The sequence below is a fragment of the Homo sapiens genome, chromosome 2, assembly GCF_000001405.40.
Source record: "Homo sapiens chromosome 2, GRCh38.p14 Primary Assembly".
Classification (NCBI taxonomy): Eukaryota; Metazoa; Chordata; class Mammalia; order Primates; family Hominidae; genus Homo; species Homo sapiens.
In genome coordinates this window covers 190660837-190684214 of record NC_000002.12, presented here as the reverse complement: position 1 = coordinate 190684214, position 23378 = coordinate 190660837, and the positions used below count along the sequence as shown (strand labels likewise).

Genomic DNA, 23378 nt, shown 5'->3' with positions numbered 1-23378 from the left:
AATAATTACAATGTTGACTATTAATATTTTATTGAGAACTAGTATTATTTTATCTCAGAGTTGCATTACACACAGCCATGGTCAACATGGCTGGTTTTCCTGATTATCAAACTGTTTAAGTTTTCTTGAGCAGAGAATCTGTCTCACTTCCTACAAAACTACAAGAATAAATAAGTAGCACCATATCAGATTCCGTTCATAAACTGAATCAAACCAAGTTGTTATTGCTCTCATGTTGATACAGCTGTGGCTCAGATGACGTTTTAAAAAACAAACGGAAATAAAAAGTCAGGCCTCAGATACTTAAAACTGAAGCTAGTTGAAGTAGTCATTTATTTTTTAACCTTCAGATACTATCATGGAGTAATAACTGGGAGTTTATGTTACCTGTGAACTAAGAGCTGCAAGTTCTTCACTCTTAGCTCTAGCCTGCTGGAAGAGTGTTTGCACAGAATCCTGGAAATCTGGAAACCCATCCTGTGGGTCAAATAAGAAGTCCTTTATATTTAGAGTTTGTAAATAATAAAATATTATCAAAAACTTGAAAATAAAGCAAACTCTTAATCTCACTACCTGAATAATCATGATTAAGATTTTAATGGTTATAAAATATTTCATTTCAGCCTTTTATGAAACATACATTATTTTCTACAGCTGTAACCTCAGTAGAAACATAAATAAGATGAAAAATGTCATCATTCCTATTGTTTTACACTGGAAAGAAGGCTTTATGATCATTGATAATAACGGTTATATAACATTTCACCTAGGCTGGGTGCAGTGGCTCACGCCTGTAATCCCAGCACTTTGGGAGGCCAAGGTGGGCAGATCACCTGAGGTCAGGAGTTCGAGACCAGCCTGTCCAATATGGTAAAGCCCCATCTCTACTAAAAAAAAAAAAAAAAAAAAAAAAAAAATTAGCTGGGAGTGGTAGCACACGCCAGAAATCACAGCTACTAGGGAGGCTGGGCAGCTACTTGGGAGGCTGAAGCATGAGAATCGCTTGAACCCAGGAGGCGGAGGTTGCAGTGAGCCGAGACTGCACCACTGCACTCCAGCCTGGGTGACAAAGGGTGATAAAGTGAGATTCTGTCTCAAAAAAACAAAAACAAAAACAAAACACATAAAAAACATTTAACCTAGTGGGGGGTTTGATTAGCCACTATCCTCGCATTGGACATTTTTTATTCTTTTCCTAATTTTTGGTTTTATGAAAAACACTGCAAAAATATTTTCATGGAGATAGCATTTTCGATAGCTTAGATTATCTACTACAAAAGATTCCCAGAAGCAGAATTACTGCAGAGATGATATTTTTGTGCCTTATGTACTTTCGCTAAACCTATAGAGGGCCTTTACTAGTTTATCATACCACAAGCAATACATGACAATTTCCTTGTCAGCACTAAGAATTCTTGTTTTCTTAATTTATGCCAATTTATCTATACTTTTGATACTCAAAAATCATTTAATTTTTATATGCCTGTTTTATATGCTATAGTTGTACATACTTTTATTTTGTGATTTCAACTGTTGCTATAAAGTTTAGAGAAATTCTGCTTCAGAAATTTGGTTCAGTACTTAAATCTACCCTCTAATTTTTCTAAAAGTTTGATTTGTTTTTTAAATTTAACCCTCTGACCTATCTGAAATTAATTTTGTTACATGAAATGTGGCTAACGATCCAAACTAAATGTTCTTTAAAGTGCTAACCGATAATCCCAACCTGAATTGCTCAAGGATTCCTTCATGTTGGCTTGCGATTTCACCTTTATCATAACCTATGACAGGAAATGGAGCTTTGGAATTCGAAAGGCCTGTCACCACTCACTAGCTATGTGACCACCGGATGAGTAACTTAACCTTTCTGAACTTCAGTTTCCTCACAGGAAAATTGAGGATAGGAGAACCTATCTATTAGGATTGTTGTGAGGACCAAATGAGATAAAGCAAGTGAGATAATGCCTTCAGCATGTAATAATTACTAAATAAGTAAGTATATCAATACATACTAAATTCCCATAATAAATAGGGCCTATCTGGGGGCACTGGATAAAACTTCAACTTAAATTACTTCCATTTTATACTTGGTATTCCACCTACTTTTTTCAAGGTTTTCTTTTTTTGACTGTTTATTGCTCATGATCATTATAACTACAAAATATCATGACAGCATGGTTTTAGTAACTTTAGTGAAACCTCCTAAAGGACTCCTCACAGAAATTAGCATTTACAATTAAACTCCAAAACATTATTTCTCCCCTTCTTTGATAAGCTATATATTTGCAGCAGAGGGCAAATCCTTAAAAACCAAAGTTCTTACAATACACAGCAGAAAAAGATGGAATAATGTAATAATAACAAAATATTTTACCTTATTTGGGATATAAGATAGTGGTTCAAAAATTTTCCCCCATCAGGGTCTTTTCAATAAATTATTTCTCCACTGCAGATTTCTTTCAAATATTTTATCTATCAAAATACATTCCCCAAGTAATAACTAATTTGCTATTTTTAAAATTCAAAGACATGATATAGAGCCAAGAGCTAATAAACTTAACGTCTTAAGATGGTCCTATGTAGCTTTATCATGGGCCAGTATGTAATTAGCACTTTTGAAGTGTTGAAAATAGCCACTCTTCTAGGTTTCCATGTTGGCTCACAGATGTGTATGGAACATAATCATAAAATAAGCTAAAATGAACTTCATATAAGTGTATACAGTCCAAGCTAAATCCAAAGTTCCCTTTTTCTTAGCCATTCCAGTTTTCTTATAAATAAGTTTTCTATTTAGACTGAAAAATCCAACTTTCTCTTTAGCAAACCCCCACCCCACTGGAACTGCTTAAGTTCTCAAGTTCAGTGAGGTAAGCTAGTAGAAGAGTTAGAACAACTTCAATATAAGCGGTTATCATTTTCCAGGGGTCTACAATATACCAGTCCCTATGTTCTATATTTTATGTTCATTATTTCATTTAATCTTCATCACAGACAAGACTGGGTTTCCTTTTTTTTACAGCTACAACGCTAGCTTCAAAGCCTATGCTCAGTCCATAAATTCAGAGTTACTACCTTTATGAAACTCACAAAAACACAGGCATTTCTATAAACAGAAATTATAGCTCTGTTTTTCATAAGCTGGACGGGCTTTAACTATATGACTTGCAGAGTTCAAAACCCAACTCTACTACTTATTTGCTGTGATACTGGGTAGATTATTTCATCTCTCTGTGTCTATTTTCTCATCTATAAAATGGGGATAACAATAGTACTTAACTTGCAGAATCATTTTAAGGAAGCAGAAAATTCATGAAAAATACTTAACACAGTGCCTGGCCCATAGGAATTACTTGATAAATGTTTGTTACTGATATCTGTTAAGTTCATCCAAAAAGCCACCAGATTTAATCAGAGTAAAGCATCATACTGGGGAAAAAAGAGAAATTTTATGGACAATTACAAAGTACAGACATCTTAGAGAAGGAAGAACTCAACATTTAATACTAAAATCAACCAGAGAATATTAAGCACATTCGTGGGGAACTATCTCAGTGAAAAGAACACTGGAAATCTAGAAACATGTGTTTATACATTCAACAAAAATGTCGCATCCACCCAGCTGATTCATACACTGTACTCAATATGGGAATACAACGTCAAACAAGATGGCCATGCCTCAGGCGCTCCTGACAACACAGTCCAGGGAGGGAAATGGACGGAGACCCAGAGCACAGCAGAGGGCGCTGTGGCAGAGCAGGCATCCCAGAGGCCAGGGTGTCTAGGCTGAGAGTTCCAAAAGAAAGCAGCTGGTACAGATGCCTGGAGGCAAAAAGAACAGGGCACACTCTGGGAAGCCGGAAAATATTCAATATACACTGAAAAAGAGGGAGTGGTGAGGGAAGGTGGAAACACAGGGCCAGATTCTGTAAGCCCTTGTAAGCTATGTTAAGAATTTTAGATCTTATCTTAAATACAAAGAGAAGCCATTGAAAGTCTCAGGGAAGAGACTGATCGGATTTGCATTTCAGAAAGCCCATCACATGTGAATGTGATGGGGAGAATGTACGCGGAGGAGGGGAGTTCAGGGTGGTGACAGGGACACTGGTTAGAGGGCTGCTGGTGAAGGCCCAGCCCTGGACAGTGGCAGGTGCCGCAGAAATAAGGCAACTGAGAGTTTGGTTATGACATTCTCTAGAATAAGGAACTCAAGATCACGAGGTCTGGGAGGGGCCAGAACACTGATGAATTCGGTTGAGCTCATTTGCTAGTGAGACCTCCGTGTGTAGATAAGCCAGGTAAGCAGGGGCAGTGAGTTTGGAGCTTGGGGTAAAATCAAGGCTGGAGACCCAGATTAGAGGGTTATCAGTTCATCAGCAGAATCTGAGTGGAGTGCACCAATCAGAATCCCCATGAGCCCCAATGCCTCAATACTGTTTCTGGAAGAACTTGCAGGAGAAAGGTATGATCTAGGCATTTCACATTAGGAACCAGCTGTGTGATCTCAGGCAAAAAAGTAAACCTCATTATTTCCAGTGATCCAAATTTTTAAATTAGGATTACACCACCTGTGTATCTGCCCACTGGAAGTTTGTGGGGATTAAATAAAGTAACGCAAATAAGTGAACCTTGGAAAAGTACACATTGCCATACAAATACCTGGTGGCACTAAAGTCAGGATTATTCAACCATGAGAATACTGAAAAAGCTGGATGGGGGAACCTCAAACTCTACATGTGAAAGTTGCTAGAAAATGGACACTATTCCACCATTAATAAAGATAAATAAAAGCCTAAAATAAGTAATAAATAACAATTATCCAAAGTAATCAGTGATCTCTCTGCAACTGAGCACATTAGTCATTATTTACTCCTACAGTCTTGACAGTTCACTGTGGATGGAAAAACTACAAAATCGAGTAGCTATCACTGCATGTCACATAAAGTAGATTTAAGGTCCCCAAAATATATGACTTAGAAATAAAAGTAAGAACATTCCCAAGAAACTGGTCTCTTTCACATTATGTGTGGTGCACAATTTCGTTATGTCTCGTAAGCTTGTTTCCCAGGCACCAGCTAGCTGCACCATACTATGAGCAATCTATCTCCATGTCATATTTTTGGCTGATGCCATTAATCACAGTGTTTCCTTGCTGACGAGACTCTGGGTCTGATCACTGAGAAAATAAAAGCTATGGGACGGAGGCTGGTGCATGACCTAATTACTCTCATCCCATTGGTCTCCATCCCCATGCCTCCTCATCCTTTCTGCCGAACACTAGCAAGCTGCTTTAAAGCCACTGCTTAGCTGTCTCTAGATGACTTGTTACAGCAGATGTTCTCAACCCCACATGTGCATTTTCCTTTTTTCTAATCACACTTTCTGTATGAATAGCATATTGTAATGCTTCTGTTTTTTCTGATCCAGAGGGGAAGAGTCTACGTCAAATTAGACCAGCTTTCTTTTCAACAAGCTTAGTAGCAGCGTAGGTGGATATTCTGAACCTCTTTCCTCCCCCTTCCTTGCTCTCCCACCCCCACCTTGCTGGAACTGCTAGCAGATGTTTCCTTTAGGTCTTTCTTCTTCAAGCCCCAGTTCTCTGACTTCCTGGGCTCTATTAACAAACCTCATTTCTTTCATCCACTTATCTCTGAATGCTTTGCACCTCTGACTCCCACAGGGTCAAGAATGCTGTCATTTCCCATCTCTGCCCAGTCTCCAGCAATTTCAGCGAATGAAGAAAACTCAAATGAGAAATAGCACTCAGTCCAGTTAGTCAGCTGCCATCACCAGGTCTGAGACTGTAGCTTTATATATCCTTCCTCCCTTCTAAGATGTTACTTATAACATTGGAGTTAATAACAAATTTGTTCATGGAACTGAATGTGTTCTTAATGAAAAAGAAAGGTTACCAATTGAATTCACTTTTAACTAACATTTAAAAAAATTTAGGAGAAGACAAGAGAGCCAGGGACTTTGGCTCTTGATTTTTCATCCCCTTGAATGAGCTGTCAAGCCACCTTAAATATGTTCTTTCATAGGTAGGACATAAGGAAATCAAACTAATTTTTCTGATTTACTCTGTGTATCTTCCCAACACAAGGTTTTTACTCATAAACAATCAGCATATCAAATGAAAATTTCTTATATTTAAATATTTTGTAATTTACATTGTTAAATTTTCTACTCAAAACTTGTAACTGTTTACTACATAACATTTCTTGGATTAGAAAATAATAACTGCCACCATCCACCCTTTTCAAAGACTACCAGTCCTGCACACATTTCGCCCTTCACACGGTACTAGGAGGAAAGGTATAACCCCAATAGTGTTTTTTTCACAGGTAAGATGCTTTGTGAATAATCATTAGCACCTAGGAAGGTGGTACTGCTTTGACATTCAGGAATCAGACATAGATAGGAAGCCCCGGCTCTGCTACTGGATAGCAGTTTGGCAACACAGGTGAAGATACTGAGCCTGTCTGGGTCTCTCCTTGGCTGTAAAATGGAAATCATAAAGCCTCCACATAGGTTAGACAAGAATGTTTGTGATAATGAATTCCAAATGTCTAGTAGGGACTGACACAAAATAAAAGCAATACAAAGTAGCGATTTTTACAATTGCCCCAGAATGAGAAGATTTAATTAGATCTAATTCAAAAGATAAGTAAGAATAAACAAAATCTATTTTCATTTCAGCTGAAAGTGGACTCACAGAGGGCTGTGTTCCAGTGGACATGTTATTCATTCCGTCTAAGCAGAAGGATTCCAACCTCACTTACTAACTAGCTGAAGAAACGTTTCCCTAGAGATTTCATTCCAAATGGTAGGTTCCTTAAGGCACACCTAAGCTAGCAGGCGATCTTTTTCTCCATGTCCATCTCATATATTCTAGGAATTAAAGTTCAAAATCTGTTTTTTAATGTTTAACATACCCTGTAAGGAGGAACACTATTTAAGGACAACAGATTATCTTGATTACTTCTATGCAATGTGTATACTGCTATTTTTTTTTTAAATCAAATAAGTAACTATCCTTTAAGGGGGAACAACCTACTACATAAATAAGAGCTTTCCAGGTAGAAAAATCAGACAAGTCAATGAATTATAACTTCATTCCACCCAAGCCTTCATGTATAGATCAGGAAAACACAGTATTTAGGAACGAAAGATCTTACTGAGCTTGAACACAGCACTACTTGTATTAGTGTACCCTAATGCATTAATAATGACAAGCAAAAAAATGTTTCTCTTTCCTTTACATGTCAAATTATTTTGATGTTATTTTATTTTATCTGCTCAACATTACATTTCTTTTTGTTCCCTGTAAAAATTATGTTTTTAAGATGGAAAAAGCCAGCAATGTGGCACATATGCTTATTGTTATAAAGGATTTTAGAACACTTAAAGATTTGAAAAAAGAGAAAAACTTGTCTCATTAGTTTGGGCCTTGTAATTAGAAATCTGTTACACTATAAAATGGGCTAAGCTTAAGTTTATTTGTACGTTACTTAAAAACTTTTTTTCCTTTGTTTGAGACAAGGTTGTGCTCTGTTGCCCGGGCTGGAGTGCAGTGGGGCAGTGATTCTCCCACCTCAGCCTCCTGATTAGCTGGGACTACAGGCACATGCCATCATGCCTGGCTAATTTTTGTAAGGATGGGGTTTTGCCATGTTGCCCAGGCTGGTCTCAAACTCCTGGACTCAAGCAATCCATCTGCCTCAGCCTCACAAAGTGCTGGGATTACAGTCATAAGCCACCATGCTCAGTCTTGTATATTACTTTCTTTAAATAGAAAATAACAAGCTGAGAATCACAAGAGAAAGACTCAAATGAAATAAGAGAAAAAGTATGTTAAAAGAATTCTAAATTCTTTCTAGTTTTATTTATGAGGTCCTTTGTGTCAATCACATTCCCTAGACAAACTTATTGTTCTCTGAACATGCTTAGTATTTTCTTACCTCTGTCTTTGCCCATGCTAGTCTATCTTTATAATGCCACCCCAATCCCCTCCCCACATCGCTACCTTTTGAAATTCTACCCTTCTTTTAAAAACCCAGCTCAAATTACACCTTCCCAATAGTCTCCCCTGATCTCTTCTCATACCAGAAATTCTCCCTCTCCCCAGAAGCCATATAGAAGGTAGACATAAAGCACCAGTACTTGGTGAAAAGTTTTAAGGGAGTGGTAACTTTATACAGCCAGTACTATCTACCTCATAACAGCTTCCGGAAATAGTTCTGGTATCTCAAATTTGACTTATAGTACAGCACAGACAAGGATTCATACCAATACTATATATTTTGCAAAGGATTACACCATCTACATGTGTAGGTATACATACACACAAGACACACACACGTTCAAGAGATACTGATGACCTGCAATACACAAGTGCTTTTTAAGAAAGAGGAACAGAACAAAATTAAAAACAAACCAACAACAAAAAAGTGAGCCACTGTCCTAAATTCAAAGGTGTAGTTACTACTTATTTCTGGGAAACAAAATCAAAAGTCTAGTGTCTATAAAAGCATTTAAAGAAGCCTGGGGCCGATTGTCGCTTGTCTTATTTAGGAAGGGTTAGAAGAGTTATTCACAGGGAAAAGTAACACTGATTATCTTAATTTTGAATCCAGAGCTGTTCAAGTGGCTTTGTGACCTCCAGTAAACCAATAAACTAACCGTATAGAACTATAACTCAAGTATCTCTAGTGGAGTATATTTAAAGGAACAGAAAGGTCATATCTAATGTTACAGCCCAACACTTTGTGCTTCTAATAAGAAACTGAAAGCACTGTAATGAAATACAAGGCCTCTGAGAGGGTCAGAAAGACTTACCAATAAAACTCATCAAGAAACAACTGCAGCTCAAACAGTCCATGAGATTCATGATCACAAATTTCAATATTTAGTGACCTCTAAAGCTAGACAAGTGTGGCTTAAATGTGAGCAGCCTGAATCATGATCACACTTAGGGCCAATGGTGAGAAATAGATAGAGACATATTTCTAGCCTAGCAACTAATTTTTTGGCCCCTGGGTAGTTTCTGTGCTTTCTTTCCTCTCAATCCTCCAATGGCACATGCCTTCTTAGCAGTTTCTATGTTCACCTGCCTTTCCCTTTCAGTGGCAGTGAGTCATTAACAGCCAAATCCACAAGGACCCTCTGTTACCTGTTATCTGGGGGAGCAAGAGATAAAACATCTCACTAGTTATATCATCTTTCAATGTAGCCTTTTAGATAATTTCAACATTTTCTGAGTTAACCATCTTAAACATTATTCCAGAGCTAACAGTGAGGTAGGTTACAAATATAAGTACTTTTTTGGGGGTAGAGACAGGGTCTCCCCATGTTGCCCAGGCTGGTCTCGACCTCCTGAGCTCAAGCAATCCTTCTGTCTTGGCCTCCCGAAGTGTTGGGATTATAGGTGTGAGCCACCATACCCAGCCCACATTTCTTTTTTTAATGTGGCTTTTTGTTTTTGACAAAATACTTCTCTTCCTTGAGAACCACTGCTTTCAGATAAAGTGTTTATAAGTCAAAGATGCTTATCTGCAGCCATTCATTATTTCATTCTATAGATTTTATTAAGTGCCTATTAGGTGCAAGGCTGTTACAAACTCTAAGTATACAGCAGCAGATTCACAGATAAGAGACCTATTCTCATCTAATGGGGCAGACTGATAATAAATTTAAAACAAGTAACTAACAGTTTCAAATACTGGCGAATGCTATGAAAACAAACCAGGAGAATAAGCCTGAGTGTGATTTTGGGGAGAGGGTGCCCCTTTAGAAAGGGAGGCAGGGAAGTCAGGGGAAACTCGGCTGTGACTTGAAGCCATCTAAAGAAACAGAAGTCTAGGTAGGGGGAAAACAGTGAGTGTTGAGGCATAAATGAGTTTGGCATGTTCAGGAACAGAAAGTCAGTCAGTGCGGCTGGAACACAGTAAGAATGGAGAGTGTGGCAGCAGACAAGGTAGGAGATGCAAGCTGCAGTCAGATCATGTGGGGTCTTAGATCCTTTAAAAAAAAAGTTTAGATTTTATTCCAGGTACAGTAGAAAGCCACTGAAAGGAGTTAAGCAAGAAAGGGATTTATGTTTTTATAAGATAACTCTGGCTTTGATATGAATAAAGGATTACTGCCATATAGATACTCTGTAGATATAACTGATGACAGAAATTTAGGGTGGTCAAGCATAGATTATTTGCTTTAACTTGAAATTAAATAATAGGATGGCTAAGAGAACACTGACCTCCATCCCCTGCCTAAAACAAAAAGAAAGGAAGGAGCCACCTGACCAGATTTCCACTCTGCTGCAAACTAGACTTTTTAAAAAGTATTTGTAAGAAACAATAGTTCTGAAACCATTCTATAGTTCGGAGAGTCCTAAGTATGTTTTTCTTAACTCCCACCTTACCACTTGCAAATCTAAAATCAAAAGAGCAGCCTCAACCGTGACACTCTAAAAGAGGCTTTAGTTACAGTAAAGTCTCTGTAATTTATAGCTACTAAATTATCATTTCCCTTAGATAGTTAATATAAAGAAACGAAAAGTTAGCTCCTCTGTATTTGATGACTAATGATGTAAATACAACTATGAAAGGAATGGTTTAACCCGTGAAGTTTTAAATCTGTAAGAAACACCGATTGCAAATCAACCTTTGATAAATTGACTGGACTAGTCACCACAGTTTTCTTTTAAGAATTTCCTGGGACTAGGCATGGTGGTTCACACCTGTAATCCCAGAATTTTGGGAGGCCAAGGAGGGAGGATCACTTGAGCCCAGGAGTTTGAGTGCAAGACCAGCCTGGGCAACATAGCGAGACCACATCTCTACATGAAAAAAAAGTTTAAAAAAATTTTCCTTGGTCTGCTAATTCAAATTACTGTAAATATTGTATTTCAAGGTAACAAAATTCTATATTTTTAAAAGATTTATTGAAAGCCATTTTTCACTAGTTTATGGGACCATCTTTTTTGTCTGAACTAGTTAAGATTTTGCTTGATCTTAAAACAAAAGCAAACATTATCAGCATAAGAAAATGTAACATATGACCATACCTCCACTTTAATTCTCTTTGGGGATAATTCATCTCTTTCTCCACATTTTGACCTAAGGGAAAGGGGAGAGAAAAAAAAAAAAAAACTTGAGAAAGTAACTGATTTTATTCCAAAGGCATCTCAGCCTATAACCTTCCACCAAAACATATACCCTGAAACTCCAACACCAGAAATGACATATTCATAATGATCATTAAAATAATGAAGAAAAGATCTTTCATCATTTCCAAGTTAACACTAGGGGAAGGTATAGATACAATTATACATTTTAAAAGGCCACTACCTAAGAACTCACCACCTCTGGCTTTGGTATGAAAGCCACTCAATAATTTTTTTTTTTAAAGATGGGGTCTCACTATGTTCAACCCAGACTAGCCACAAACTCCTAGGCTCAAGTGATCCTCCCACCTCAGCCTTCCAAATTGCTGGGATTACAGGCGTGAGCCACTGTGCCCAGCCTAGCACTTAATAAATATTTAATGATCATCACATAATGAAAAAAAAATCAAGGAGGATATCCCTTTATGGTTCAGTAGGAATAATTTAGGATAAAATGACTAAAATGACCACTTAAGATGTATGTTTATGGCTACATGAGATTAAAATGCATTTTGTCTATCTACAGAAACTACAGATGTATTTACCCTGACCCAGCAATTTCTCTGCTGGGAAAACCTATCCCAGTGGTACCTACATATATATATATAAAATGATGCTCCATCAATGGTAAGACACAGAATTATTTCATGTACCACTATGAAATTAATTAAACTATGACAAGCCATCAACTACAAGTTATACTTCAATATAAAAGATTTGTTAAAATGTGAAAAAGTACATCTCAGAATCAACAAAACATATTATGTATGATGTTATTTATTGTGGTTTTACAATAAAAGACTAGACACAACCCCAGTAGCCATCAATAGGGGCTAAATGAATCACAGCACATCCACACAATTCAATACCATGCAGCCGTAAAAAAATAATGAGGGCACCTTAGGAGTCCAAGGTGGCTTCTAAATTATGTAAAAGTGTTAACATATTTTAAGGTACATTTAACTTTAAAGGAAAGGTGAGCCTAGGCACAGTGGCTCACGCCTGTAATCCCAGCACTTTGGGAGGCCAAGGTGGGTGGATTACAAGGTCAAGAGATCGAGACCATCCTGGCCAACATGGTGAAACCTCGTCTCTACTAAAAATACAAAAATTAGCTGGGCATGGTGGTGCACGCCTGTAGTCCCAGCTACTTGGGAGGCTGAGGCAAGAGAATCGCTTGAACCCAGGAGGTGGAGGTTGCAGTGAACCAAGATCGAGCTATTGCACTCCAGCCTGGTGACAGAGCAAGACTCCGTCTCAAAAAAAAAAAAAAAAAAAAAAAAAGGAAAGGTGAAGGTAAATACTAGAGGAAATGGCTAAAAATCGGTGAAGGCAGTTGCCTCTGGAACATGGAACTGAGAAGCGGGAAGGCAGAGCACAGGAACCGTTGAGTTTCATTGTTAGCCTTACATGTTATACAACTTCTTGAACTGTGGACATGTATCACTTTGATTAAAGAAAATTATTTAAATAAAGTACTCAGAAAGAAAATAGTGTATAATACAATGAAGAAAATTAAAAATCAGCGAATCAGCTCTTGATTATCCAACTCCAAAAAAAAAACCTTATAAATAATCCCATAGAATGTTGCTGTATATTCTTACCCTGTTCACTTAGTCTACATGATTTTACTTGTCAGTTATAAATACGTAGGTACTGACGTAGGGCAGAAAATGAAACTGCTGTGAATTAGGAAAAATAATGGTAATGATGGCAAATGCCTATAGTGCTGGTTTTCAAACTTAGGATGCACAAGAATGCTCTGGGATGCTTGTGAAAGTTCAGATTCCAGAGTTCCATCCCCAAAGAATGTGATTGATTAGGGCTGGAAAGGGTGCTCAGAATGTGAATTTTCAACAAAAACTTAGAGTTACTCTAATGCAGTGGTCATCTGCATCCAGAGAAACAGTGGCAGGCACAACACAATGCGGGCTGGAAATCGGGGTCTGTGTGGAATCAAGTGAACAAAATCAAATGGTCCTATCCTGTAGACAATGCTTATGGCTCAAGTAAGGATAGGGTGAAGAAAAATATGCTGTGTTTACATTAAATTTTGAAACCACCATTGCTTTTTAACATCACGTTTTATTTCAAACTTGTGTTCCATAACCCATGTGCTAGTAATAGAAGTATCTTTCAATTTTCCCTTAGATACTAGTCAATAGAGTCGTTTTACATATTCAGCTAATCTCATCAGATTCAAACACCTTGCAAAAAGGACCATTCTATTTCCTCAGAGTTCAACAAGTTCACGTAGTTAGCGGGTGTACAAATACGTCTATAAATGCTGTCTGACTAAATCCCCTCGTCACACTCAAAACCAAAGTGTGTGTATGAGAGAAGAATGTTTAAAACCACTACCAGAACAATGCTATAGTAACTAGAGAATGATGCCTTTCAAAAGAGAACAGTGAGAATTAAACAACAAAAATCACCTTGGCAATGTTTTCAAAATCACTGCATTGTTTAGTTTCATAGAACAATAATCATACTTCCACTTTTTCAGAAATGCTTATATTCTATCAATAGATGATGTTTCGAACTCTACTTCTCTCAAGCAATGCAAAAATAATGACGATTAGTTAAATACTTACTTGGTGGTTCTGTAAGTATATTTATAGGTGACTTCTCGAGAAATCTGTCGAGCCAAGGCAAAAAGCTCATCTCTTCTTGTCAGCAGGGCATTATCCTTCACACAGAGTTGAGCAGCCGCTTCATTAACAGTGAGCTGGATATCCAAAACAGAGTTTCAAAATTAAGAACATTTTAATTTCATCAAAATGCAAAAGGTTTCACTTAAAATATAAGAATGTTACACCATTATATAATGGAATCATTATTCATAAAAATCAGAATGGTATTTATTCCTAATTATTCCTAATGCCGAATTTCAGAAGAAAACCAACTCATCTGCCATCTCACAGAGCCCAAATTAATCATAATAGTCATCTTGATTTTATTTATTTATATCCTTTTTTTGGTTAGATAGGAGAGTTTATAGACGACAAGGAAAATAAAAAGTAAAAAATATTCTGCAACTCGCTTATAAAAAAACCCAAAATATTAGAATACAGGATTTGCTGACACCATTTCTCTAACCAAAAATGAATGTAGATGGTCTGACAGATTTTTTATGAACTGACATGAAAATTCTTAAAAAGGAATCAAGACCATATGATTTTAAACATTTATCAAATCACTTAGTAAAAAACAGAGTTATCATATACTAGGGCTATATTGGAAAATCAAGGTGTTGGACTAATCTCTAAGATCCATCTAATTCTACCACCCTTTCATAATTCAGTAATTATTAAATATTGCCAATATAGAGTTGCTAGTTGACCAAACACTTTGTACTAAAATTTTGTTACCCTAAACACAAAATCTGTAATTGTTTAACAAACTAGAAATTTTTTCACATAATTTTGTCAATAGATATAGGAAACTGTCAAGAGGTATATCAGACTTTTTTAATATGCAAAAGATGTACTTAGCCAAGGCATGATGATTAGCAAAAAGAAAATGGGACGTGATGGCAGACAGACCTGAGGAGAGTCCTGCTTCATCATTTACCAGCTGTGACTCTGGACATGCAAAACTTTTGAGAGGCTTGGTACTTGGTATTCTGAGAGGCAAAATGGGATAATATCACTATCCCAAAAGGCTCTAACAAGATGTAGATGAGGAGACACACCTGGCATAAGGTTGTGGTTAGTGTTAATTCTTGTTTTCTTTTCATAAGAAATCAGGTACGGCAGTACCCCCTTACCCACAGTTTTGCTGTCTGAGGTTTCAGTTACCTGTGGTCAACTGGGACCCAAAAATATTAAATGAAAAATTATACAAATAAACAATTCATAAGTTTTAAACTGTGTGCCATCTCACTCTGTCTCATCCAAGTGATGAATCATCCCTTTGTCCAGTGTATCTACACTGTCTATACTCCTGGCTGTCAGTCACTTGGTGGCCATCTCAGTCAACAGATGGACTCTTCTGATATCTCAGTGCTCATATTCCAGTTACCCTTATTTGACTCAACAATGGCCCCAAAGTGCAAGAGCAGTAATGCTGGCATATTGTTCTAATTGTCCTACTTTATTATTATTAATAGTTATTGTTGTTAATCTCTTGCTGTGCCTAATTTATAAGTTAAACTTTATCATAGGTATGCATGTATAGGGACGAACAGTATATATAAGGTTTGGTACCATTTGCAGTTTCAGGCATCCAACTGGGGGTCTTGGAATGTGTCCCTCACAGATAAGAGGGGACTACTGTAGTCACCCTTTCTCCCTACCCAGGCATCTCATCTTTATTTAGAATAATTTTTCTTACTTAAAATTTTTGAAAACAAAAATAAATAGCATGCAATCATTCCATCCAGAATGACAATATTCTAATATACATTATTCCAATATTTCAGTGTACATATAAACATTAAGTATATATGTACATACAAATTTGTAATCTACTTTTTTCAGTTACATATGCTATATTTTTCATTTCTACCGATGTATTAAGGCAGAGACGTGGCTTGTTTACATTAGCATCTGGCATGGGCTGGAAGTTCAATATATATCTGTTGACTGACGAATGAATTGAAAAATCCTTTATAATATCACTTTTACTACCCACACATACAATATTCCATTGTAGAAAACAACCATATATTATTTAAACTACCTTCACTCTGGACATCAAACTACCTCCAGTTTTCCATAGACTATTTAAAAAAAAGCTGCATAAGAGATTCTTAAATGTGTACCTTTGCACACATATCCAATTATTTCTTTGCAATAAATTCCTACAAATAGACCAGTTAGGTCACAGGGTATACTAAAATTTTAAGAAATTTATACATTCCACCTAACTACCCTCAGAAAAGTTTCTCTAAATCATAATGCTGTCAATAATTACATGATGAGTCCATTTCCTACAATCTTGACCAACACTAGTTATTATCTTTTTAAAACTTTACCAATTTTATATTTCTAAAACAGCATTTGGTTGTAATTTGCATCCCTTTGACTATGAAACTAAAGGTTTTTCTTACATCTTTGACTCATTACAATGTTTCATGTTCTTAGAACTTCAGGAATTCTTTATTAACAGCATTAACTCTTCATCATATGTAATGGGATTTTTTTTTAAGTTTGTCATTAGCCATACAGTTTCTATGCCTTGGGTGACAGGCAAAGAAAATCTCTTCCTACTCTAATAATATATAAATGTTCCATAATTTAGTCTAATCGTTTTACTTTTCCCACCTAAGTATTTAAACCATCTAGAATGTGTTATGGTACATGGTATGATATAGATATTTAACATCCTCCTCCCCAAATTTATAACTGTAATTTATATTAATTTGTTCTGAGACAATTAATTTGGCCACTGACAGCAAGTTATAATAATAAACCCAGGTCTCCTATTTTAAACCCATAGCTGAATATGAAAGCATAATTGAAGGAAGAATTTATTTTCAGCCTTCTCCACTCCTCCTAAAGAGTCATCAATAGATAAATTCCTCCCCTAAGTGCCTTTGAAAGGCACAATGTTATTGGAGTTAAAAGTGAAATGTATACTTTAAATAATGATATTCAAAATAAATCAGTTTCAGCATGGCAGTAGCTAAATGACCTTGAAGAGGATTCTCAAATAGCTTTTTATGTAGCGATTTATTTTTCATATTAATAAATCTAAATTACTAAGGAAACCTCTGATTTTCAGTAAGATGTTTTAACTGACAACATTTCAGAGGTACTAGCTTATGCACAAACACAGAAAATAACTTTTCAACATAAACTGAAAACAATATTCTAGTATTCCTTCTCTTACCTTTCCAGAAACCAAGAAAAATAAACATAATGCATTCATTGTCACTGAATTCAGGCTCCCACAAACCAAAAAAGTAGACTAAACTCCAGGCCCTCAGGGAACCTGGTAAAAAACTGAGGCTGGAGAAGTAACTCTAGCTCACCCCCAAGTTGTAATAAAAAGCTGATTCATGAAGCCTCTCCCTTAAAAACACGTGTTCTGTCAGAGTTACCTAGATTTCATGCTCCCTAGCTGCTAATAATGAACACATCAATAACTATCATGATATAATTACAAAAGAAAAATGAAAATATTCCCAAGCAGTTGGGAAAATATGAAAATATTCCCGTCACTTGCAGCAGCACTGTTAGCTTTTTCTGAATGCCAATACTCTAATTTTGTTAAAAGGATAAAGTAACAAGATATTCTCCCTTACTGGTTTACTTATTTCCTCCATTTCCTCTTTTTGTGGCCCAAAATACCAAAATTCCACCATATCTTTATGTGAAAGATTTCTTAAAGTTCGCTTCCTTTTTCTTTTTTTTTTGAGATGGAGTCTCACTCTGTCTCCCAGGCTGGAATGCAGTGGCGCAACCTCAGCGCCCCGGGTTCAAGCGATTCTCCTGTCTCAGCCTCCCAAGTTACTGGGACTACAGGCATGTGCCACCATGCCCAGCCAATTTTTTTGTATTTTTAGTACAGACGGGGTTTCATCATGTTGGCCAGGCTGGTCTCGAACTCCTGACCTCAAGCAATCCACCCACCTTGGCCTCCCAAAGTGCTGGGATTACAGGCGTGAGCCACCATGCCCGGCCTCTTAAAGTTAGCTATCTTTTATAACCGGACTTAAAAACTGGACTTACTACAGTTATCTTTATCCTTAAGAAGAGTGGTTTACTGATTCCTAAAAAAACTTTCTTTACAGGTTGTTAAAATTATAATCTCCAACAATTAAATGATTGTGACTTTAAGTACTGTTGGCACAAAAACACTGTGAACAACTGTGTGATAGGGAGGCTCAAAAGGCAATCAGGACTTTCATTTCCAGCACTGGGAGGGCTAGGTACCATTACTGGCCCCTCTCAGAAAAAAAAAACTAAAAATGTTAAATAAAATAGGGAGGGGATCATCTTTTAAATGCTCAATGAGCTGATGAGAATAAGGACATTGAGGCCAAAATTAATGAGTACAGTACCTCAAAGAAGTTTAAGTTAGGGACAGTCGCTAAACTTGATGAGCTTGAGTTTCAATCTTCATGGCCTCATGGGGTTGAGGAGAATGGGAAGGAAAAAAGAGGCAAAGCCCACAGCCCATCAGAATTGAAGAGTCTAAGATGCCTCCTCCATAAAGCTGAAACCTCACCACACACACCCAATGTAAGGCTGAATTAGAAATACGTCTGTACCCCCAGGAGAATGCAAAGAAAATTATCTGTCTTGAACCCTAGTAATGACTGGGAGAGAACAGAAGATACTCTCTTAAGATTTCATAACCCCCAATCAACCATAATTCACACTAAGTGGGCTGAGAATTTATTTTCATAGGGTCTTAGATTTGTAATGTCCCCAGATGCCCAGTAAAAAGAAAAAGCAAATAACCTCTAGGGAATTCACTTTCTTCCCGGGACTCCAAATGTTCTCACAGTTAAAGTTCCAAGAAATATGAATTCACATAAATCATAAAACATCAAAAGAAACAAGGCAACAAAAGTGAACACTAGTAGAAACAACAGACAGCAAAATCAGACCCTCAAAGACTTCATTTGAAGAAACAAAGGGATTTGAAAATACGACTAAAAAGCAGTACAGTAAAAATAACCACGAAACTTGAGAATCAGGAGAGGAGAATTGGACAGAAACAAGATTTTAAAAGTACACAATAAATAGCAGAATAACCACTAACTTTTTTTTTTTTTTTGAGATGGAGTCTTGCTCTGTCGCCCAGGCTGGAGTGCAGTGGCATGATCTTGGCTCACTGCAAGCTCCGCCTCCCAGGTTCACGCCATTCTCCTGCCTCAGCCTCCCGAGTAGCTAGGACTACAGGTGCCCGCCACCACGCCCCGCTAATTTACACAAAGGTATCTTTAATTACTAAGGGAAAACCACTAACATTATAGAATTTAATACCCCAAATAAATAGTAATTAAAAATGAGGGCAAAATAAAGATATTTTCCAGTAGGTAGGGAAGGACAGAGTTTGCCACCAGTAGGCCTTCATTAAGAAAATCCTAAAAGAGCTTTCGATAGAAGGAAGCTAATCCCAGATGATAAATCTGTACAGAAAGTATATCAGGGCTAGAGGGGAGATACAAATAAAATAATGGAAAAAAATCCAAAATATTAGTCATATAATAAATGTACATGGACCAAATATTCCAGTTAAAAAACAAAGCATGTCTGACTGGGTTCTTTAAAATCCAACTGATCAGTATTTATAAAAGATATATATAAAACATGGATTCAGAAAGGCTGAAAATAAAAGGATGATATAAAGATATAATAAGGAATAGACCAGGTGTGGTGGCTCACGTCTGTAATCCCAACACTTGGGGAGGCTGAAGCAGATAGATCGCTTGAGCCCAGGAGTTTGAGACCAGCCTGGGCAACGTGGAAACCCTGTCCCTACAAAAAAAAAAAAAAAAAAAAAAAAAAAAGGAAAGAAGAAAGAAAGAGAGGAAGAAAGGAAGGAAGGAAGGAAGGAAGGAAGGAAGGAAAAAAGAAAAGAAAGAAATTAGCTAGGTGTGGTGGCACATGCCTGTGGTCCCAGCTACCCAGGAGGCTGAGTGGGAGAATCACCTAAGCCTGGGAGGTCGAGGATACAGTAAGCTGTGATCTCACCACTGCATTCCAGCTAGGGTGACAAAGTGAACCCTGTCTCCAAAAAAAAAAAAGATATAAAGATGTAATAGGCAATGACTAACAAAAAGAGAGCTCATGTATTTATATCAACATTAAAGAAAATAGCTTTCTAAAGCAAAATACATTATTAAAGGTTAATAAGATTACTGCGTAATACAAAGAGAAACAGACAACACTACAATCAGTAAAATTTTAGTACACAACTCTTTTTACTGACAGAGCAAGCAGACAAAATAATAGTTAAGAATATAAGATTTGAATGACAGAATTAATAAGCTTGTTAGAACAGACACATATAGAACACTCTACTAACAACTGCTTAAGATATCGTTTCCAAACGTAAAAAACACAGACCACAAAATGAATCATAACTAAACTCTCAACAAATTTTAAAGGGTTGGCATCACACAAACCATGTTCTCTTGCCCTCAATGTAATTAAGTCAGAAATCATTAGGAAAAATAAGGAAAAAAAATTACTCATATTTGGAAATAAAGAAACACTTTTAAATAACACATGGTCAGAAATCATAAAAATAATTAAAATTGAAAAATAATAAAATAACCTCATAACAAAACTTTGGGAATAACACTGAATCAATACATAGTGAAAATTTATACTTTAATTGCTCATATTAGAAAAAGAATGACTAAAAATTAATGAACTAAGCACCCAAATTAAGTTAGATAAGAACAATAAAATAACTAAGAGAGGAGACAAATATATACACGTGTACAGCACAAGCAAGAATAGCAACTAAGCCCAGAGTGGCTTCTTCAAAAAGATCAGAGGTTGGCAAGCTTTTTCTGTAAAAGGCCAGAGAGTAAATATTTTAGGCTTTACGGGCCAAACAGCCTGTGTCACAACTACTTAACTCACCATTGTAGCTCAAAATCAGCCACAAACAGTACATAAATAAATAGGCCCAGCTGTGTGCCAATAAAAATTTATTTATAAAAACAGGAGGTGAGTGAGACTGGGCACACAGACCCTAGTTTGCAGATCTCTAAAAAAGAATAAAATTGGCAAACCTTTGGCAAGGTTGGTCAGGAGCTAAGGAGAGATAAGTGTACAATCAATATTAGGTCAATATTAGGTCTTAAAAAACTATAAATAACTTTACGCCACTAAGTTTGAAAACTCAGATGAAATGGATATTCTTAGAAAAATGTAACTTACCAAAATTGACTCAAGAAATAGACTACCATAATTCATTTTTAAAAATCATCAGAAGGAAAAGTCCAGCATTTCAAGTGTTAGATGCTGAAATCTATGAATTCTGAGATTGAGAGTTCAGAATAAAACAAGCTAACTTAATAATGTGACCACGTTTATGCGGTTCTCAGATTCAGCATTCCTCCTCTCTCAAAGGTGAAATTGCTGGCCTCCTCTGAAACACTCAGCCTTGACTTCTCAGCACTATAATGGAAACTGACCTAAGCTTGGCATCACTGTTTATTCTATAGGCCTGGGTCCTTATCTTGGTAACCTGCTCAGCACCCCAATTCCTGCAGAGTTTCTTCTGCTCAGCTTACAGTTACCCGCTGACTACATTCTCCTCTTCTCCTTCCTATCTTTCTAGAGCTCTTTGACTGGAAGCTGCTATCTGCTGACAAATATTCTGTAATGCCAAATTATCTACCTGCTTACATTTCTGAGTATTACAAGTTTCTACATTCTCTATTGCCTTGCTGTTCCCAAGTTTTAGTTGCTCTCTCCTCATCCATTCACTGATTTAACATTAGGGGTACACTGCTTGCCTAGTTTACCACCTACTATCTATTAACACCCCTTATGATAGATGCAACATTGCCTGCTGGCTTTTTTCTGATATCGCCTCTGGGTTTGTCCCTTGGCACCTGCCGAACACCAGCAAGGTGTGTGGTTCTAAGCTTCAGCCCTCACTCTCTTCACAATCTGACACCTATAAAACAGACTGTACTTAGCCAGGCTGTAGGACTATTGCTGATTCTTTAGCTTAAAAAAAAAAAAAAGAGGGGCTTAACAATAAGTCATTCCATAATTCTTTACGGTGTACATTTGGAAACAAATTATGTTATTATAAATATATAAACAAATATTTTCTTCTTCTTACAAGAAAAATAATCTTATGTACTTGAACAGTTGAAAAAAACTTACAGGTATAGATAGCTTCCTGAATTTCATCCACCAGTGACCTACATACAGCTCTATGTCTTGAAAGATTAAGAGAACAGTATCCACACAATTTATATGAAGAAAATCCTCAGAACAGTGAGATTAAGCCAACAATGAATTAAGAGTAAGTCATGTATTCCTTATGTGGAAATTGAGTACAAACTAGCAACATTCTTTAATCTCAGGAACTTAGAACTAAAAAAACTTCTGCTAATTTTAAATAATCAGGAGAAAAAATACAAAATTCTCATAATACCTAAAAGATATACCTAATAGTACCTTCTTTCAATTCCCCCAGGATTCTGTAATTTCTTCCAAGATCTTGGATAGTTACTAGTTTTAAGAAAGCTTCCTGATTCACAAACATTTATCCTAAACTATATTATTGGACCAGATTCACATACTGGAGTACAAGTAACAAGAAGGCCTAAGTTAAGTTTCAAAAACACAAGCCACAACTTCCAAAGCCCCCACCCCCACATTTCAGCCTACTGGCATTCATTTTGAGTATTTCCTTATTTTGTGAAATTCATGGTCTCATCACTTAAATATCATATGTACCTACTTATCTAAAGAGGCAAAGAGCCCCTTAGCAAAAGCTAAGTGTAAAATAATTCTTTTTACATTTTTTAAAAGTAGGGTATGATTTTTTTTTAAGTCAGGTTAACTAGGTTTGTTAATCTTTTAGAAATACTTTTACTTTGATAAAAAACACATGTATTTCGACTCAACTTTGTATTTCATCTGCTATGTTTTAAAAATTATAAGAAAACTAGGTTAAAGCATGAAACTAAAATTGCCAACACATTTTGCCTTTTGTTTTTCTACTAATGACAGCCATATAGCCCTTTTAGTGGATTCCTCTACTGGTTCAAAGGATACTCCCAAAATAGATCAAGTCACAGGCTGGCTATGACTTAAGTAATTCTGCTAACCAATTATCTGATCTCAAGCTCCAACATTCATGTCTAAAATCATTTATTTAAAAAGATCAGGCTAGGTACAGTGGCTCATACCTGTAATTCCAGCACTTTGGGAGGACAAGACAGTTCTATCAGTTGAGCCCAGGAGCTTGAGACCAGCCTGGGCAACAATGGAGAAACTCCCATCTCTATGAAAAACTTAAAAAATTAACTTGGTGTGGTGGCACACACCTGTTGTCCAAGCTACTCAAGAGGCTGAGCAGGGAGGACTGCTTGAACCCTGGAGGTCCAGGCTGCACCCACTGCACTCTAGCTTGCGTGACAGAGTGAGACCCCCATCTCAAAAAAAAAAAAAAAATTAGCTATGACATAGTCTTTTTAACTTTTGAAAACGCATTTATTTTCCAAGCACTTATTGTGTACATTTGACTCTGGGGATATAAAGATGAAGGAGACATTATCTCT

At 36.7% G+C, this 23378-nt stretch overlaps 1 protein-coding gene across 48 annotated transcripts in view, besides 2 other annotated features; it reads right to left on the bottom strand.

The window, feature by feature from the left end:
* NAB1 (NGFI-A binding protein 1) overlaps nt 1-23378 on the bottom strand; it is a 43872-nt gene that overhangs the window by 8552 nt on the left and 11942 nt on the right. For 36 of the 48 annotated variants that reach the window (XM_047444447.1, XM_005246582.2, XM_047444465.1 and 33 more), the window contains 3 exons: nt 13756-13889; nt 11063-11114; nt 388-477 (listed from right to left, as the gene is read on the bottom strand). In XM_047444447.1, the coding sequence (XP_047300403.1) occupies nt 388-477; nt 11063-11114; nt 13756-13889 (276 nt within the window). The remainder of the gene's footprint in view (nt 1-387; nt 478-11062; nt 11115-13755; nt 13890-23378) is intronic. The other 12 variants (XM_047444473.1, XM_047444475.1, XM_047444474.1 and 9 more) reach the window with 1 other exon arrangement.
* Nucleotides 5428-5477: an enhancer, noted in NCBI's record as "active region_16864". NCBI's record gives its function as "activates an Ori minimal core promoter by ATAC-STARR-seq in GM12878 lymphoblastoid cells {active_cell/tissue: GM12878}" and the evidence as "EXISTENCE:reporter gene assay evidence [ECO:0000049][PMID:35858748]".
* Nucleotides 8331-8400: an enhancer, noted in NCBI's record as "active region_16863". NCBI's record gives its function as "activates an Ori minimal core promoter by ATAC-STARR-seq in GM12878 lymphoblastoid cells {active_cell/tissue: GM12878}" and the evidence as "EXISTENCE:reporter gene assay evidence [ECO:0000049][PMID:35858748]".